The sequence below is a fragment of the Homo sapiens genome, chromosome 8, assembly GCF_000001405.40.
Source record: "Homo sapiens chromosome 8, GRCh38.p14 Primary Assembly".
Classification (NCBI taxonomy): Eukaryota; Metazoa; Chordata; class Mammalia; order Primates; family Hominidae; genus Homo; species Homo sapiens.
Window position 1 is genome coordinate 84,422,897 of NC_000008.11, and position 21,356 is coordinate 84,444,252.

The 21,356-nt window shown below is 37.0% G+C and overlaps 1 protein-coding gene across 55 annotated transcripts in view, besides 1 other annotated feature; it reads left to right on the forward strand.

Moving 5' to 3' along the window:
- The window catches only part of RALYL (RALY RNA binding protein like), a 739,058-nt gene that overhangs the window by 240,110 nt on the left and 477,592 nt on the right, over positions 1 to 21,356 (forward strand). The window lies entirely within an intron of this gene.
- Positions 1,814 to 2,383: an enhancer, noted in NCBI's record as "H3K27ac-H3K4me1 hESC enhancer chr8:85336945-85337514 (GRCh37/hg19 assembly coordinates)". NCBI's record gives its function as "activates a minimal SCP1, AML or CMV promoter by ChIP-STARR-seq in naive and primed H9 embryonic stem cells {active_cell/tissue: H9 hESC(naive and primed)}" and the evidence as "EXISTENCE:reporter gene assay evidence [ECO:0000049][PMID:30033119]".

Here is a 21,356-nt window from a genome sequence, read left to right on the forward strand (position 1 = left end):
CACTGTGGTCTGAGAGATAGTTTGTTATAATTTCTGTTCTTTTACATTTGCTGAGGAGAGCTTTACTTCCAAGTATGTGGTCAATTTTGGAATAGGTGTGGTGTGGTGCTGAAAAAAATGTATATTCTGTTGATTTGGGGTGGACAGTTCTGTAGATGTCTATTAGGTCTGCTTGGTGCAGAGCTGAGTTCAATTCCTGGGTATCCTTGTTGACTTTCTGTCTCGTTGATCTGTCTAATGTTGACAGTGGGGTGTTAAAGTCTCCCGTTATTAATGTGTGGGAGTCTAAGTCTCTTTGTAGGTCACTCAGGACTTGCTTTATGAATCTGGGTGCTCCTGCATTGGGTGCATATATATTTAGGATAGTTAGCTCTTCTTGTTGAATTGATCCCTTTACCATTATGTAATGGCCTTCTTTGTCTCTTTTGATCTTTGTTGGTTTAAAGTCTGTTTTATCAGAGACTAGGATTGCAACCCCTGCCTTTTTTTGTTTTCCATTTGCTTGGTAGATCTTCCTCCATCCTTTTATTTTGAGCCTATGTGTGTCTCTGCACATGAGATGGTTTTCCTGAATACAGCACACTGATGGATCTTGACTCTTTATCCAATTTGCCAGTCTGTGTCTTTTAATTGGAGAATTTAGTCCATTTATATTTAAATTTAATATTGTTATGTGTGAATTTGATCCTGTCATTATGATTATAGCTGGTGATTTTGCTCGTTAGTTGATGCAGTTTCTTCCTAGTCTCGATGGTCTTTACATTTTGGCATGGTTTTGCAGTGGCTGGTACCGGTTGTTCCTTTCCATGTTTAGTGCTTCCTTCAGGAGCTCTTTTAGGGCAGGCCTGGTGGTGACAAAATCGGTCAGCATTTGCTTGTCTGTAAAGTATTTTATTTCTCCTTCACTTATGAAGCTTAGTTTGGCTGGATATGAAATTCTGGGTTGAAAATTCTTTTCTTTAAGAATGTTGAATATTGGCCCCCACTCTCTTCTGGCTTGTAGGGTTTCTGCCGAGAGATCTGCTGTTAGTCTGATGGGCTTCCCTTTGAGGGTAACCTGACCTTTCTCTCTGGCTGCCCTTAACATTTTTTCCTTCATTTCAACTTTGGTGAATCTGACAATTATGTGTCTTGGAGTTGCTCTTCTTGAGGAGTATCTTTGTGGCGTTCTCTCTATTTCCTGAATCTGAACATTGGCCTGCCTTGCTAGATTGGGGAAGTTCTCCTGGATAATATCATGCAGAGTGTTTTCCAACTTGGTTCCATTCTCCCCATCACTTTCAGGTACACCAATCAGACGTAGATTTGGTCTTTTCACATAGTCCCATATTTCTTGGAGGCTTTGCTCATTTGTTTTTATTCTTTTTTCTCTAAACTTCCCTTCTCGCTTCATTTCATTCATTTCATCTTCCATTGCTGATACCCTTTCTTCCAGTTGATCGCATTGGCTCCTGAGGCTTCTGCATTCTTCACGTAGTTCTCGAGCCTTGGTTTGCAGCTCCATCAGCTCCTTTAAGCACTTCTCTGTATTGGTTATTCTAGTTATACATTCTTCTAAATTTTTTTCAAAGTTTTCAACTTCTTTGCCTTCGGTTTGAATGTCCTTCCATAGCTCAGAGTAATTCGATCGTCTGAAGCCTTCTTCTCTCAGCTCGTCAAAGTCATTCTCCATCCAGCTTTGTTCTGTTGCTGGTGAGGAACTGCGTTCCTTTGGAGGAGGAGAGACGCTCTGTGTTTTAGAGTTTCCAGTTTTTCTGTTCTGTTTTTTCCCCATCTTTGTGGTTTTATCTACTTTTGGTCTTTGATGATGGTGATGTACAGGTGGGTTTTTGGTGTGGATGTCCTTTCTGTTTGTTAGTTTTCCTTGTAACAGACAGGACCCTCAGCTGCAGGTCTGTTGGAATACCCTGCTGTGTGAGGTGTCAGTGTGCCCCTGCTGGGGGGTGCCTCCCAGTTAGGCTGCTCGGGGGTCAGGGGTCAGGGACCCACTTGAGGAGGCAGTCTGCAGGTTCTCAGATCTCCAGCTGTGTGCTGGGAGAACCACTCCTCTCTTCAAAGCTGTCAGACAGGGACATTTAAGTCTGCAGAGGTTACTGCTGTCTTTTTGTTTGTCTGTGCCCTGCCCCCAGAGGTGGAGCCTACAGAGGCAGGCAGACCTCCTTGAGCTGTGGTGGGCTCCACCCAGTTCGAGCTTCCTAGCTGCTTTGTTTACCTAAGCAAGCCTGGGCAATGGCGGACGCCCCTCCCCCAGCCTCGCTGCTACCTTGCAGTTTGATCTCAGACTGCTGTGCTAGCAATCAGCGAGATTCCGTGGGCATAGGACCCTCCGAGCCAGGTGTGGGATATAGTCTCGTGGTGCGCCGTTTTTTAAGCCGGTCTGAAAAGCGCAATATTCGGGTGGGAGTGACCCGATTTTCCAGGTGCGTCCGTCACCCCTTTCTTTGACTCGGAAAGGGAACTCCCTGACCCCTTGCGCTTCCCAGGTGAGGCAATGCCTCGCCCTGCTTCGGCTCGCGCACGGTGCGCTCACCCACTGGCCTGCGCCCACTGTCTGGCACTCCCTAGTGAGATGCACCCAGTACCTCAGATGGAAATGCAGAAATCACCCGTCTTCTGCGTCGCTCACGCTGGGAGCTGTAGACTGGAGCTGTTCCTATTCGGCCATCTTGGCTCCTCCTGGTCTTAACTTTTATGAACTCTTATACAGCCACTTGTCCAATTTTCCAAAACAGCAATTCTAAACTTTTCTCTCCAGCTAATTATTAAACTTAATATCCTATCCTGATGCTATTGGAAGATTGTCACTCCAGAGACCCTCCAGAAACATGATCAATCCAACAATAGCATGCAATTGCAGCATCAATTTTTAGAAAGCCAGTTTTTCTTCTGTGTGTGTGTGTGTGTGTGTGTGTGTGTGTGTGTGTGTGTAAGTTGCTTGAAAGGTAGTCAGCTATTGATAGAACTTGAGGTGAGAATTTAACTGGGGTTTGGTTGCTACCAGTACAGCATTTTTGCAGCATCCCTTGGGTTCATTGGAACTAGGAAATAAAGAGTATATATATTATCTAAAATAGAGAAGAATTGAGGATAACCGTTTATCCATTTATATAATGTGTAGCTAAAATCTCTCTCATATCTCCTTGAACTGAGAACCAAAATGTTTTTACTAATTTATTTATTTAATGAAATGTATTATTTAAATAAATTGTAATGTGTGTATTTAAGGTATACAACATGATATTATGGGATACATATAGATAGTATAAAGGTTACTGCAGTGAAGCAAGTTAATATATCCATCATCTCACATAGTTACCCATTAGTTTTAGTTTGTTTTTGTGGCAAGAGCAGCTAAAATCTACTTATTTAGCATAAATCTCATATACTGCACAATTTTACTATCTACAGCCTTCATTTGTACATTAGATCTCTACACTCTTGCATCCTACATATTTGCTACTTTGTATCCACTGATCTACATCTCCCCATTCCTCCTGCCTCCTGCCCCTTGTAACTACTCTTTTGCGTTCTCTCTCTCTCTCTGTGTGTGTGTGTGTGTGTGTGTGTGTGTGTGTGTGGGTTTAGATTTCACATATAAGTGAGATCATGCAATACTTTCCTTTCTATGTCTGACTTAGTTCAATAAGCATAATGTACTCCAGGCCTATCCATGTTGTAGCAAATGACAAGATCTTGTCCTTTTTTAGTGGCAACTCAATTGTGGAAAAACAAATAAACTGATTTAAAAATGGGCAAAAGACCTGACTAGACATTTTTTCAAAAGAAGACATTGAAAATGGCCAACAGATTAATGAGCACCATTAATCATCAGAGAAATGCAAATCAAAACCACTGTGAGATACCACCTCATACCTGTCAGGATGGCTATTATCTATAAGTCAAAAGATAAGGAATGTTGAAAAGGATGTGGGAAAAGGGAACTCTTGCATGCTGTTGGTGGCAATGAAGATTGGTACAGCCGTTATGGAGAACAGTATGGAGGTTTCTAAATAAATTAAAAATGGAACTACCATATGATCTTATGGGCACATACCCAAAGGAAATGAAATCACCACCTCATAAAGATACCTGCACTCCCATGTCATGTTCATTGTAGTGTTATTTAAAAAAGCTAGGATATGGAAACAACTCATGGATGAACAGATAAATAAATTGGTACATATATATAATTTTACTAATTTCAAAGGCTTATTTTCTAAGACAAAATTTAAAGGGGCAGTTTCACCCCAGATATGCCCAATGGAAACTAGCAAGTGTGTGCATGAGAGATGACTGGTGCCTTGCCACAATGGCATGTACCATCATCGTTTGCCTCAGCTATGGCAATAGCTTCCCTACTAGACTTCCAGCTTCTCCCCTCAGGCCCTCCAGTCCATTCTCCACACTGCTTCCATATCCTCCTTTTTAGATAACAAAACTGATAATAGCAGGCCTTTCTCATTAGTGATTGGGAATTTGGTAAAATGAAGGTTTCTGGACTACATCCTACGGAGTTAGATTGTAAGCTTGTTCTATTAATCTGTGTTTTAATTAAGCATTCTGTGGTTTTCAATTGCTATTGCTCCACAAGTTATATTTTGAGAAAACACTGACCCACAGTATGATATCAAACATATGTATGCATTTAAAAAAAAACCTTTCAAGATCTGTTCTTTAGTATCATTTTTTACTACTGGCCCTTAGGCATCCTGTGCCTTAGCCATATGTATTACTCATCTTCCCATGTCCTGTCTCTCCTCTGTGCCTTTAATTATGCTCTACTGTTTCTTTTGCTCAGAATATCTCCTGTTCTACTGCTATCTGAGACGCGTTCTTTAAGTAACCTAGCCAGGTTAGACACTTGTCCTCTACCGCTCTAGCTTTGTCTTCATAATCCTTGCAAACTAGTTTTCACATTGTCTTGTAATTATCTCTCTCTCCCCTCCTCACCTGTGTTGACTGTGGTCTTCTTAAGCAAATATATACAGGTCACTGCTTTCATCTTCTGTATCTGCCACACTGCCTGGATAGAGGAGGCATTCAATTCATTATTGCTAAGGCAATGAATCTATCTTCAAATCTGTATGTCTCAGATTCCTTACCTGTAAAATAAAGATTGCCAGAGAGACTTTTTCACCAAACAAGGTCTTATTGATCCGGCTCGCTTGCGCTTGCTCGCTGTCTCTCTCTCTCTCTCTCTCTCTCTCTCTCACACACACACACACACACACACACACACACACACACGTGGTTCAATATATTTTAAGTTTATACTGAAACTATTTAAAATAAATAACTCTATAGAATATATAAACTATTAGTTATAGTTTTCTTTTGCTTTTTAAACCTAGTTTGTTTCCCAAAGCTAATGTTAGATAAAAAGATAATCAAAGTAGCCAGATGGTCGTTAATCATGAGGGCTTTTTATTCTATAAACATAAAAATTCCATCACCTCCGAGGAGTTTCACATGTATCTTGGATTCATCCTAATGTGGGGTATGAAAAATTGGTTTCAATTCAGATGTACGATTTAGATCACTTACCTTTTTCTTCCTTATTTTTCTTGAGTAGGGTTGTGAGAAATGGCTCAATGTAAAAGGCATAAACATAGAATTCTTGATGTAAATGGATGTAGTCAGCCTCAATCTAATTAAAGATTTCTCTCTTTCCTTTACCCTTTGTCAGTATCTTTGTCTCTTGCTTCTAGAAATTAAATTGGAAATTTTACTATGTTTCTGTCCTTTTCTAACCTTTACTTTTATTTGCTCACACACATATGCTAAGATGCACACAGATACACAGAGACACATACAGTGTAATTTGCAGATAAAGGAATTCACACAGAAAACATATATAGGGTGAAGTTACTTTGTATAGTATAATTACCATGGTACCCTCTACTCTACATTTCCTAATTTATCTGACCAACTTGGCATTCAATGTGAAGTATATTGTGTGAGTTATGTCTATTAATACATTATGACTTATAATTTATAAACCACCTTTAATGCAAAGCAAATACTATTTCAAGGGGAAAAATTGCATATTCAATTTTTCTTTATTTATACATACCCTAGGATTTACTTACACATGGATGATTTATAGAGATTTCCCCATTGTTTTAAAGTAATTTATGGCAACATTCCTTTATCTAATGAAAGCCAAGCAAAGGGAAACAAAACCAAAACCCCTTTTGATAGAGAAATGCTGAGTGAGAGGTACTAGGAAGGGGCACGAAAAAGCATATTCTATGGCTTAATGCTCTAGGCTTACAAAAGCATGGTGTTGGAATGGTAATTGGATTTCTGAGCATTGCTTTTGTGAATAGACTGCTTAAATCATTGAAAAGGAAATCATTGCAGAAAAGAAGCAGGGAAGAATTGCACAGGCTGTTTGAGTACTTACAAACTAAGAATAACATACGAACAATGAAGAACTGGTTTAGTGCTGTTGAGATTTGACATCTTTAAAAACCTGATATTGTAGCTGTAGTTTTGATCTTCGTTCCTTTGTTGAATGAAGTCCCAATGCATTTTGGACCAGTACTTTCAATGAGGGCTGAAACAAATGAGATTTTTAAAATGCTTTTTCCAGAAAAATAAAATTTTCCCCCAAGTCCACATTATATTTTTGTTTGAAAAACACAGATACAGATACATATGCATCTCTATTTTTAGTTTGTTTCACATGTTTATTTCTGCGGTGGTTGACTTGCCATTCTTAAAATGTTAAAAGTCCTCTATCCTCCCAAACTTTCATGTTAATAGAGTGACTGTCACACTGTAAGCATTCAAAAATTATTTTGATGTGCTAGAAGAGGCTTGGGAATTGGAGGTGGTGTCTGGGTGTTAGCCTCTTAAATCTGCATGTAAATTTCCCATCAGCAATTATAAAAGGAAAACATGTCATTTACTAGACAGAGTTAAAGGATGTCCACTATCTGCTTTTTCAACAATACCTATCCACTATCACTGGGGAATCGTGAACATGGACACAATTTTTACCTTCAGATAACTTATACGTATTGCCCCTCTGCCCAGTTTTTGCATTTTACTCTGAAAGGTGCAGAAAGAAACAAGAAAAGATAGGAAATAGACTTCTAGGAGAGTTTGCTTAAAAAAAAAAAAAGAGTTCCATTTTTCTTGGAGATAATACAACACAGATTTTTACTTGTCCTTGTTAAATTTGCCACAGAAGATAAAACATTTGTTGAGTGTGTAATTCCATGCTAAACAACTTGCTAGTTATATTAATCATATATTAAATATATTGGTCAGAATAACCCTCCCTTTATTTTATGGTGAGCAAATGGAAAACATAGTGATAAAAATTTTTCAGGGTCACCATAACTAGAATTTCAATCCAGTTCTTTTGGACTCCAAAGCATATATTTTCCTCTACCGTGCAGTAATTTATTTTAAACATTAGTTATTTGAAGACAATTGAAGTACTGTATACTTTTCTTTGGGGAATATTCATTGCTTTATGGAATTTCTTTTAATTTTTGTACTCTGTTGTTAAGTTCAAATACAATTGTACTTTTCTCTTTGTTCAAATAGAGGAAAGAAAGTCACTCACAAAGTGGCAATGTGCAAAGGACTACAAAAAACATCTATTCTCCATCTGAGACCTAGCTTTATAGAGACAATAAGAACCACTGGGAGGAAACCAGTGAGTGTCAGTGGTTTACTCTAGTGTAAAACATTTGGCTCTGGAAAAAATCATGTTTTTTATAAAATTGCACAGCACAAGACACAGAAGCACTTTTTATAAAATTATGAATGACAATTTTGAATTTTTAATGTTTTAACTATTTATTTTTAAAACATGCCTTACTAGATAGCTTCAGAATATATGAATAAAAATATGTAAATTATTTACTAACATTCAAAGCAGATTATGGTGGTAAGGAAAATGTTCCTGTAATATAACCTTCAATAGCAGGTGTTAATTTCACTGATTTCTCACTGCTTATTTAGATGGAACAGTGCCTTCCATACCGTCAATGACAGAGTGTGAGTCCCACAGTCACTCAGCTGGGCTTCATAATGTCCTACTTATTTCCTGTGTTATGTGAGGTTTGTCACTTAACATTCCTGAGTAAGAATTCTTCTTCTGTAAAGTAGGGCACTAATACCGATCTCATAAAATCTCTGGGAGAATTAGCTGACTGATGTAGGAATGTAATAATGGTAGCCAGCTTGTCCTGAGTACTTACAGTGTGCCTGGGATCTCCTCAGATTTACAGGCATTAGCATCTTTAGCCCTCACAACAGCCTATAAGGTTTTACTGTTAAGCCTCCTTCCACTGGGGAGACAACTGCAAGGCAGGAAGGGGCATCATAAAAAGATAGGAGTGTCAGAACCAGTGCTGGAAGCCAGGCATTTTGACTCCACAAATTGTGCACTTGGCCAATATACTATACTATCCTGACTCCCACCACTCACCACAAAGTTAGGATTTTTTTTTCGTTCATGGCCAACAGGTCTATGAAAAATTGCTCAATATCACTATGAGGGAAACGCAAATGAAACTACAGCGAGTTATCACCCCACACTTGTTAGGATGGCTATTATCAAAAAATGAAACAAAAGATAGTCCTCCTATCTAACTGAAATTCTGCATCCTTTGGCCAGCATTTTCTCAACTCCTACTAACACAACCACCCAAGACCTTTGTAACCACTATTCTGTTCTCTAGTTGTATAGTATCAACCTTTTTTGATTCCATATTTGAGTGAGATCATGCAGAATTTGTCTTTCTGTCCTGGATGAACTCACCTACAATAATGTCCTCCAGGTTCATTCATGGTGAGGCAAATGGCAGGATTTCCTTTTTCTGTGGCTGAATAGCATTCCATTGTGTGTCTTTACCACATTATCCATTCATCCATTTATGGACTTTTAAGTTGATTTCATATCTTGGCTAATGTGAATAGTGCTGCAATAAACATGGTAGTGCAGAGATCTCTATAACATACTGATTCATTTCCTTTGGTTATATACCCAGTGGGGGGATTGCTGGATAATAAGAAAACAAGCATTGGTAAGAATGTGGAGAAATTAGAATCCTGTACACTGTTGGGAATGTAAAATTCTGTAGCAGCTATGGAAAATAGCATAGAGGTTCTTCAAAATGTAAATATGGGACTACCATATGGTTTAACAATTCTACTTCTGGATATGTATCCAAAAGATTTGAAAACAGGGTCTCAGAGATTGTTTGCGCTCCCCTGTTTGTGGTAGCATGATTCATAATAGCTAAAACATGAGGTATAAATATAGAATGGAATATTATTCAGCCTTTAAGGAAAATCCTGTCATATGCAACAACATGGATGAATCTGGAAGCCATTATGCTAAGTGAAATAATCCATGCAAAGAAAAACAAGTACTGCAGTATTTCACTTATATGAGGAGTCTAAAATAGTCAGACTTACAGAGGCAGAGAATAGAATGGTGGTTGCCAGGAGTTGAGGGGAGGGGAGAAATAGGGAGCTGCTATTCAATACCTGTACAAATTATACGTGGTTCTAGAAATCTACTGTATTAAATCATGCCTAAGGTCAATAATACTGTGTTGTATACCTAAAAATGTGTTAAGAGGGTAGATCTCATGTTAAATGTTCTCACCACAATAATCTGCATGGGTTGAATTGTGTCCCCCAGAATGATATGTTGCAGCACTAACCCTGGTACCTCAGAATGTGACCTTATTTAGAAATGGTGTCCTTGCTGATATAATTAGTTAAGATGAAGTCATGCTACAGTAGGCTGAGTTCTACATCCAATATGCCTGGAGTTTTATAAGACAATGTGAATTTACAAAGGAAGATGCCACGTGATGATAGAGGCATAGATTGGAATTATAAAGTTGCAATCCAAGGAATAACAAAGATGACCAGCCTCCTCCAGAAGCTAAAAAAAGGCAAGAAAGGTTCCTACCCAGAGTCTCACAGGGAGCATGGCCCTACTGACATCACAATTTCAGACTTCTATCCTCCAGAACTGTGAAACAACACATTTCCATTGTTTTAAGCCACCCAGTTAGTGGTCCTTTGTTATGGAAACTCTTACACACATACATATATATATGTATATTTAATAGATATTTTAAGAAATATTAAGCAAAGTATTAGGTACAATAATTGCTCAAAAGCGATTGTTCCTATTTTATATAGTCTAATAGTGGGGAAGTCTGTGCTTATGGGAAACTTTTAAAAACATCAAACACTTCCTGTGTGTAATTTGCTAAAGTTAAAAATCTGTAAAACCACAGTGTTCTTGTGTAGTCCTTCAGGAGACAAATATGTGCCTTTCTTGACATGGAAGTTTCTTTCCACCTCAGCCAGTAGCACATTCACTCCAAACTTAGCATTCATCATTTATGGCAATCAGATCAGTATTTAGGTCTATATTGCCTTGTAGTATTTATTTTTATTTTAACCATCTTATTTTCTTTATGTATGTAGATTATAAATTCTTAGAGGGAGAGAATTATATTTTATAGTTTTGTAACATAGCACCTAAAACAGGACGATGTTTGATATGGTTTGGCTGTGTCCCCACCCAAATCTCAACTTGAATTATATATCCAAGAATTCCCACATGTTGCGGGAGAGACCCAGCGGGAGGTGATTGAATCATGGGGGCTGGTCTTTCCTGTGCTATTCTTCTGATGGTGAATAGGTCTCACGAGATCTGTTGGGTTTATCAGGGGGTTCTGCTTTTGCTCCTTCCTCATTTTCCCTTGCTGCCACCATGTAAGAAGTGGCTTTCACCTTCCACCATGATTCTGAGGCCTCCCCAGCCATGTGGAACTGTAAGCCCAATTAAACCTCTTTTTCTTCCCAGTTTGGGGTATGTCTTTATCAGCAGCATGATAATGGACTAATATATGTGTGCATGTATGTGTGCGTGTGTGTGTGTGTGTGTATGTGTGTGTGTATATATATATATATATATAATACCATGTGTAACATTTGAAAATATATATATTCAAATTTCAGTCTCTGGCATTCATACTGAAATTTGTTTGTGGGTACCTCAATTGGTCAGCTTAATGATGTCTTCCCTTCTCAAGGGAAGGTAGGTATATTAGTTTTCTAGAGCTGCCATAACAAAGTACTACAGACTGGGTAACTTAAAACAACAAAAATGCATTGCCTCACTGTTTGGGAGGCTACAAGTCCAAGATCAAGGGTTGGCAGGGCTGGTTTCTTCTGTGGATATCTCCTTGGTTTGTTGTTGGCTGTCTTCTCACTGTATTGTCACATGGCCTTCCCTTTGTGCCTGTGTCCTCATCTCTACTTTTTAAAAGAACACTAGTCATATTAGATTAGGGCCCACCCTAATGACCTCATTTTAACTTACCCCTTTTATAATCCATCTCCAAACAGAGTCATATTTTGAGATATCGGGGGTTAGGACTTTAACATATGAATTTGAGGGAGACGCAATTCAGCACAAAGCACAAGGCATAAATAACTTGTTTTTGTACAGATTCTTAGCTAAGGAACTACCTTTCTAGAAAGCCCTGTGAAATATTCAAAAGTATATGAGGTGACAGATACATGAATTAGCTTGATTTAACCATTTCACAATGTATACAGGTACCAGAACATGCTGCACACTGAGAATATATTTCATTTGTACGTGCCAGTTATACCTTAGCCATAAATTCATGTGGATAGATAACGTTTTTCTTTAAAAGCAAACTTAAAGAATATTAATCAAAGAGTATTCATATCAAATAATTACTGACAGTGTTGTTTTCCAACCTGATAATTTTCTTGAGGTAAGAAAATATAGATCACGGCTGACTTCAGCCTCGACTACCTGAGCTCGAGTAATTCTCCCAACTCAGCCTCCCGAGTAGCTGAGATCACAGGTGCACACCACCATGTCTGGCAAATTAAAAAAATATATACATTTGTAGAGACAAAGTCTTGCTATATTGCCCAGACTGAATAATATGCTTGATCAAACTGCTAATATTGATTTGGATTTGAATATAGTAATCCCTATTATTTCAAGTAATAATATCTTCAAAGTAATGAATGCAAAGGAGATAAACTGATATTTGAACACACTAACATGACCATTTCAAGAATATGACATGACCTCTTCAATTGCTCCATTCGGCTTTTAGATGGAAGGAGAATGCATTAGTCTCTTACAGGATGTACTGTCTTTATCTGAGGAACTTTGAAGAGTATGAAAAACAGCTACTAGGGAAAAAAGAAAGCTTTTATATTCTTTGATGTGGAGGATTCTGTGATTCTAACACTGTGATTATTTCTTTCTGTACCAGAGCTTACTAGCCTACACAGATATTAGAATTCATAGCTATATGTAATTCAAATTTATTTCTGTATGTGAGAAGGAATGTGATTCCCTTCTCTAAAAATCATTTACTGTATAGACATAACATAACATTATCCCTCTATTATTGGTAGAAATATTACAAATCTTGGATGAAATTTTTTCTCAAAGCACAAATTTATGCTGCTAAATATATTGATTCAGATCAGTCTCCAAAAACAACACTAAATAATTAGTAGTTTTCAGAAATTTTAGAGAAAAAAGGGAAAAATATTCAGAGGGGACTTTTTAATGAACTCTAGAGACATACATTAATGTAAGTAACTGTAAGTCGGTGATGTTCCACAATTACTTTTTACTACCCACCATATAACAAGATTGGATCATGTGAAGTGCTGTGCTTAAAACTTAATCTTAATCTCAACATATCACAGAACTACATTTGCCTTGTTTGCCAGTAATTGAATATTCAGGGTAATCACTACCATACTCACCAAAGAAACTAAGGCCAGCCTCTCTTTCCTGAATCTTACTAGATTGTAGTTCTAGAATTGGCCTTTTCTTTCACTCCTGAAAATAAGGCATTGAACTGTGTTTCAGGGCAGGACCCAGTCTTTCCTACTCACCCTACTGTCTCTAGATTTACTCAGAGCTGTCCCCTGATGGAGATGCAGGATTGGATAGAAAGGATGCTTTCTTCTCTAGAAATATGGTTGTTGTGGATTAAAAGTGTCTGGAGGTGAGGGATAGAAGACTTCACATAGGGTACAGTGTATACTGCTCAGGTGATGGGTGCACCAAAATCTCAGAAGTCACCTCTAAAGAACATATTCATGTAACCAAACATCACCTGTTTCCCAAAACCTATTCACGTAAAAAAATTAGAGATTCCCAAATCCATTTCCAGTAAGTCTGAAGTAGTTGATCTAGGCAATTTGAAGAAGATTAAATATTATTAAATACTCTAGATGATTCTGATATGGATGACTAAGAGCCCTACTCCAAGACAGGCTCAGAACTCCAGAATGCTGACAGCTGAATGAAAAGGGAACATTTGCTTCTCAGTAGAAACCAAGCAGTATTGAAGAGGTAGAGGGCTAGAGAGGAAGCCAAGAATAAAATTCCTTAAAAATGAATGGGTGCTTCTGATCCAAAATGATTTTTCAGAATTTACTACATATATAAGGCAGCCTATCCCCTTTTTTATGAGATCAGTTTTATATTGGGAACTTCTCACATTATCATGTCTTTAAAAAACAAACAAAAAATAAAACCTTCGCAGAGGCACTAAAAAGAGAGTGTCTTTTCAACAATCATGGGAGTTTTTTTTTTTTTTTTTTTTTTTTTTTTGAAGTTTTAAGCTACTTATTTATTGTTTGGGAAGACAGTGGTGGATGTACTTCTTGGAACATTTTAACTTAGTTTCTAAAACAGCTTTATTGGGGTATAATTGATATAAAAACAGCATACATATTTAATCTATATAATTTGATGAGTTTGAACATACACATACATCTGTGAAACTTTACTGCAAGATTATAATAAACATATCCATGACTCTCAAAAGTTTCTATGTGCCCCATCTCCTATTTTGTTGTAAGGACATTTAACATAAGATCTACCCTCTAAACAATTTATTTATTTATTTATTTTAATAATTTCAAGTTTTGTTTTAGATTTAAGAGGTATATCTGCAGATTTCTTACATGGGTATAATGAGTGATGCTGGGGTTGCTGCGATTGAACCTGTCACCCAAGAAGATAGCATAGTACCCAACAGTTTTTCAACCCTTGCTCCCTCCTCCTTACCCCCTTGTAGTAGTCCCAATGTTTATTGCTGCCATTTTTATGTCCATGTGTGTCCAATGTTTAGCTCTTACTTGTAAATGAGAACATGTTGTATTTGGTTTTCTGTTTCTGAATTAACTTAGAATGATGGCCTCCAGCTGCATCCATGTTGCTGCAAAGGACGTGATTTCATTCCTTTTTATAGCTGTGTAGCATTTCATGGTATATATGTACAATATTTTCTTCATGCAATCCACCATCAATGGGCCATAGGTTGATTTCATGTCTTTGCTATCGTGTTGTGATGAACACACAAGTGCATGTGTCTTTCTAGCAGAACAATTTACTTTCTTTCAGATATCTACCCAGTAAAGGGATTGCTAGGTTGAATGGTAGTCCTAAGATCTTTGAGAAATCTCCAAATTACTTTCCACAGTGACTGAGCTAACTTACATTCCCATCAACAGCACATAAGCATTCCCATTTCTTTGCAGCCTCACCAGCATCTGTTGTTTTTTGACTTTTTAATAGTAGCCATTCTGACTGGGATGAGATGGTATCTCATTGTGGTTTTGATGTGCATTTCTCTGATGATTAGTGATATAGATTGGATATTTGTCCCTGCCCAAATCTCATGTTGAATTGTAATTCCTAGTGCTGGAGGTGGGGCCAGGTGGGAGGTGTTTAGATCATGAAGATAGATCCCTGATGATTTGGTGCTGTCTTCATGATAGTGAGCTCTTGAGAGATCTGATTAAAAGTGTGTGGCACTTCTCCTTCCCCCTTTCTTTCTCTCGCTTGCACCTGCTTTCATCATGTGATGTGCTCCCTCTTTGCCTTTCACCATGATTGTAAGTTTCCAGAGGCCTCCCTAGAAACCAAGCAGATGCCAGCATCATGCATCTGCAGAACTGCAAGCCAGTTAAACCTCTTTTCATTATCAATTACCTTGTCTCATGTATTTCTTTATAGCAATGCAAGAACAGCCTAATGCAATTAGTGATGTTGAACAATTTTTCCTGTATTTGTTGGCCATTGCTATGTCTTCTCTTGACAAGTATCTGTTCATGTCTTTTGCCTCACTTTTTAATGGGGTGATTGGGTTTTGCTTGTTGAATTAACTTTCTTATATATTCTGGATGTTAGACCTTTGTCGGATTAGTTGCAAATATTTTCTTCCATTCTGTAGGTTGTCTGTTTAGTTTACTCCGTTGATAATTTCTTTTCCTGTGCAGAGGCTCTTTAGTTCAATTAGGTCCTACTTATCAATTTTTGTTTCTGTTGCAATTGCTTTTGAGGATGTATCCATAAATTACTTCCCAAGGCTGATGTCCAGGATTGTGTTTTCTAGGTTTTCTTCTAGGATTATTTTACTTATTTATTTATTTATTTATTTAGAGACAGGGTCTCACTCTGTTGCTCGTGCTGGAGGGCAGTGGCACAATCTCTGCTCACTGCAACCTCCACCTCCTGGGCTCAAGCCATCCTCCTGCCTCAGCCTCATAATTAGATGGGACTACAGGCATAGGCCATCTCAATAAGCTATTTTTTTAAAAATTTTTTGTTGAGCCGAGGTTTTGCCATGTTGCCCAGGCTGGTCTCAGATTCCTGAGCTCAAGTGATTCGCCCACCTTGACCTCCCAAAGTACTGGGATTAAAGGCATGAGACACCGTACCCAGCCCTTCTAGGATTCTTATAGTTTGCGGTCTTATATTTAAATATTTAATCCATCTTAAGTTAATTTTTGTATATGCTAAAAGGTAATGGTTCAGTCTCATTCTTCTGCATATAGCTAGCCTGCTATTCCAGCACCATTGATTGAAAATGAAGTTCTTTCCCCATTGCTTGTTTTTGTCAGTTTCGTCAAAGATCAGATGGCTGTAGGTGTGCAGCTTTATTTCTGGGTTCCCTATTATGTTCCCTTGGTCTATGTATCTTTTTTTTTTATCAGTACCAACGTAGGCCTTGGTTACTAGAGCCTTATAGTATAGTTTGAATTCCATTAATGCAATGCCTTCAGCTTTGTTTTGTTTTGCTTAGGATTGCTTTCGTCATTTGGGCTCTTTTATGTTTCCACGTTAATTTTAGATTTTTTTTTTAATTCTGTAAAAAATGATGTTGGTAGTTTGACAGGAATAGTGTTGAATCCATAGATTGCTTTGGGCAGTATGGTTGTTTTAGTGATATTGATTCTTCAAATCCATGAACATGGAATGTTTGTCGATTTGTTTGTGTCATCTATGATTTCTTGTCATTGTGTGTTGTAATTCTCCTTATAGAGATCTTTCAACTCACAGGAGTCATTTTTATTCCAGCTTGCTCCCTTTTTTTCTGATGTGTTCTCCTTTCTGCCTGGTAGGAATGTTCCTGCTGTGTACAATACAGGGGATGTGTTTAGAGGTGGCAAACTTGATTAAATATATACTAGAAATAAATAATACAAACAAGTGCACTTAGATAGAAGACTTTTCCAATCTGTATTTTGTCTAATATAAGCATTCTTTTAATTTGTCTTTTGGATCATCATTTTTGAGGGAATCTTATTCCAATAAGCTACATGCATCATCTGTCATTTTGTTTTCAGGATTTATTTTCTGCGTCATGGAGATTAGCTTAATTGTGATAGATATTTTGTTGTTTTTTTCATATATATGATTTTCTTTTGCTCATCATTTCTATTGATCTATGCTCCTGATTTTAGTAATTAAAACACAGTTCAGTATGCTAGCATTTTCTTCAGCCAAATTTAATAACCTGTCAGATTCTTATGGTCACAATTAAGAGAAAGGTGTTTGTAAGTGTGTTAATACTTAGATTTCTTTATAATTAAAAAATTATTTGATTGGCTATGCTGGATTTATACTTAATAATCCTTTGCTCATGCATGTCGGTAATCTTCACTGGTTACCCAAGGTTCAAACCCTTTTAACTAGTGTAAGCATAATGATATGTGCAGTTATAATTGGTTTCAGTAACAAAATTTAAGTCAGAATTGTAGTATAATAAAATCACAGTTAATTCTTAATATCTCCATATTATTTTACATTTGTAAGTCATTATGATTAAGGCAGAATGTTGGAGCTTACTGCAAAATTTCTTTAGAAAGAAAATACTTTTCCTAAGTTCATACAGACAAGTTTAGATATTAGAGTTTGAGGCAGGTAATAATTGGAATTCTTCAGTTCGCTGACAATATTGATATTTATTTTCATAACTTTATGCAAATATTTTCTTTAAGTACTAAAAAGATGTAATTGATAATGTTCACACTGGTCACTTTCATGACATCTGAAATTTTGGCATGTCCCTAACTTTGTGAGAGACAAAATGGTGAAGTGATTAACAGCAAGGGGCTAAGTTCAAATTGTGACTTTTTAAAACTTCAGTGGCTTCTGCAAAATGGAGAAAAAAATCGTTTGTACTTTGTACAGGATTGATTTGGAGGGATTGAATAAGATGCAGGTACATAGAAATCACTCAGGAAATGCAGCAACTCTTATAATTAATCTGCTATGTGTCCCAGCCCATAGTAATGACTGATTAGTTTTCTGTACCTGTAATTTTACCTTGGCAAGAATGTTATAAACATAAACCTACTCTCTTAAGTCTTGCTTCTTCTTTCACTAAGCATAATGCATTTGAGATTCATCTACTTTGTTCCTTGTTCCACATATTAATATTATTTTCCTTTTTATGCCAAGCAGTATTCTGTTATATGGATATGACACAGTTTTTTTATTCATTCCTGTTTGAGGGATATTTGAGTTGTTTCCAGGTTTGGAGGATTATGAACAAAGCTACATTAAGCTACATAATAGCTACATAAAAGTTTTTAGGTGAACATAAGTTTTCATTTAACTTGATTTAATCTCTACAAGAGGGATTTCTGGTTTGTATGGTTAAGTGTATGTTTAATAATATAAAAGAAAAAAATCCTTATTCCCAAAGTAGTTTTACTATTTTTCATTCCCACCAGAAATGAATGGAATTTTCCATTGTTCCACATTCTCTTTGTTACTTACTAGTTTCAGGATTTTGTTTGTTTATATGTTTTGCCGATCTAATAGGTATGTAGTAGTGGTGTATTTTTTTAATAATAAATGATACTTTAAAGCATATTAATGTATAAAACAGTCTTTAAACTAACTTGGAATTATAAATTTGTACATTTTCTTTTAAGAAGACTTCACATTTTCTTCTTTAGATATTTCCAGGGGAGAAACTTTTTGTGTTTAATTTTATTTTCTGTGCTAATGTGAGATCTCTACAGATTCAAAAGTAAATAAGAAACGGTTTCTGATTTCAAGTTGTTCATAATTTGTCAAAGGCACTGAGGTGGAGCCCAAAATTTTGGCCTCGGAATATATTGGAGAGAAAACAGAGTCCAGTGTAGCAACTGAATGGATAAATGTTGCTGATTGGTGAATAAGGATTAGAAAAGTAGTTGTGATGTTCATAACAATAAAGTGGAAGAAAGCTTTGAAAGGTCAGATTTAGAGATTGAAAAATAATTTTATTTTTGAGCTAGCTACAAAAATGTTTATTCTTTTGAGTTTGCTTTAAAGCCCTCAGGCATGAACGATCATGTATTTACATCTGTGGGAAAGGTGGCATAGTGAACTGTCGGAGCTAGAAGAACCAAAAAGAGGAAAAGAGCAGTGCACTAAATAAATCCTTAGACCTATGTCAAATCAGATCGGCAAATTTTGTTCACATTATGATTGATTTAAGTATCAATAATGTTTATAAAAGTTTAGTAGCTTATCTAAATTCAAAATAGGGGTTTTCATTGTTTTCTTTAGACATATACGTCAATTCCTCATCCCACTGCCCATGGCAATTCATATCTCAGGACTAGTATTGGGGCATTTGTAAGATTGGCTTTGGAAATTCCTCTCTGGGTTATAATTTATACAATGCTTTGCCCACAGCCACATATAGGTATATTTATTCCCTTGTTCACATCATAAAAATGAGCTGAAATTAAACATTAAGTAGAAAATATGAGAACAATGAAATGCTATTTAAACAAAAGGGAATATCACTGAACATTTGGATAACAGGGAGCACCAACAAAGGCAAAAAGAAAGAAATGGAGGAAGAACCATGGAAATGCATTTGGGATGTTTGTTACTCTCCTATGTGGTTTTCCTTTTCTATCTCCTCTAAAATTTAAATTTTCTTGTTATACTCATTTTTGTGTAAATATGAAAAAAGATTATAAATATACATCACTGTAATAACATAGCTAAATTTAAATGGTAACAAACTATTTTATGGCTGTTCAGGTTTTAAATTAGGATCAGTTTATGTTAGCACTTGCAATTTGATTCTAATTAAATGCTTCCAATTTAAATGCCGTACATAGAGTCTATTTTCTCTAGTATTAAATTCTTTATACAACGTTTATTGTCTGTTCTTTTTCTTTTCCTACAACCACCATTTTTGCTTGCCTTCTACATGGGAGGAACTATGAAAGGCTGTGAAGACACAAAACCAAATAAGACCTAGTTCCTAACTTCAAGGTGCTTACAGTCAAAGATGGGATAGTTTCCATGAGAGCTCCTCTGGAAGGAGAGACAGATGTTGAGTCAATAATTCCTGTGCTGCATTGAAGGGTGGGTAGGAATGCTTCTTCCCTCACAGGAAACAGCAAAAGGAAGCTGTGAACTACATTTTTGGTTGCAAGCTTGGAGGCAGAGGATACTCTGCGTATTGTTTTTGTATTGGAAAGATCAAAGCAGGGAATAACAGAAAACAGGCCACAAAAGAACTCACGTGTCATGCTACAGACGTACCAATCTACCTGCCACTTACCGAGTGACAGCCAGCATCTTCTGTTGGTCAAGGGTAAAATATAATGGTTTGTGGAACCAAAATGCCTGGCTTTCAGAACTTGTTCTCACACTTCTCTTATATGTGACCTCCTGTTCTACTCCTCAATTTTCTATCTGTAAAGGGAAGTGATGTGAAAGAGCCTACCTCATGAAGCTGTTGTGAAGGCTAAATATGTCAATGTTTGCAAAGCTAAGAAGGCTGTGGCCACATTGTAAGGACTTAGTACAAGTCAGCTATCATTTTTATATTACTACATTGGTCAGTTAATTCTTCCTACAATTTTATTAGGTGAGTGTTATTGCCTACTTTACAGAAGAGGAACTCATATTCAGAGACTTTACCTGATAAAGCTAATATTACATGGGAAGTAAACGGTACCACCTAACAAAGAGCTAGTAGAGACTGTCTTTTTCTGCAGTAAGGAAATAACGTCTCAAAGAGTATTACCTCTGTAACTGTTTGGATTAGGGAATCATTGACCCTAGTTACGTAAAAAACTCCAAATGAAGACAAGGAAAGTAACTAGCACATTGCAGAGATTTTTATTTTCAGTTAATGTTTGGAAACTCACATCTCACAGCCCAAAATGTCCATCTAATTTATCAGCGAGCATTAGAGCTGATTGGATGCCTTGTCATGCAAATATGAACAAGGAATCTCATCACAGTTGAAGAGCTTGGAATGTATGAGCTTAATGCATGTCTACTCAGTCTGTACATATGAAACATTTAGTCCCTTGCTTGGTATAGAGCGTGCTCTCACATGCAGCCTTGTGATCACAATCTCGATGCCTGTAGGAGCCAGGCATGAGGGCGCTAAGTGAAGCAGCTGGCCTAATTCTATGTAGGTTTCTTAAATTTATTTTTGGGGTACAGTATCTTCTTCTTTGAATTTATCTTGATGCACGTACCCCCTGTGTTTAGCTTTAAATTTTCCACTTCTGACGTAGGCATGGATATAAAAAATGCTTCACCTACTTCTTAATTACATACTAATAAATAAAATAACACAAACTCGATGATAGCAACCTCCAGTGGCAGCAAAATGGTAGAGAACAGGGCAAGTAATGATGAAACAGATACTATGTGTCCAATATTGTCAGTTTTCCTAACTTTTACCCAAAGCCAGAGGAGTGAATTTTTTGTTTTATCTTATTTTCCTTTGTGTGAATAAGTATTCAAATAAAAAACACAAAACAGGCTGGGTTCAGTGGCCCATGCCTGTCATGTCAGCACTTTGGGATGTCAAGGCAGGAGAATCACTTGAGGCCAAGATTTTGAGACCAGCCTGGGCAACATAGTGAGACTCCATCTCTACAAAATATAAAAATGTTAGCCGGGCATTGTGGTGCGTGTCTATAGTCCTAGATGCTTGCGAAGCTGAGGCGGGAGGATCCCTTGAGTC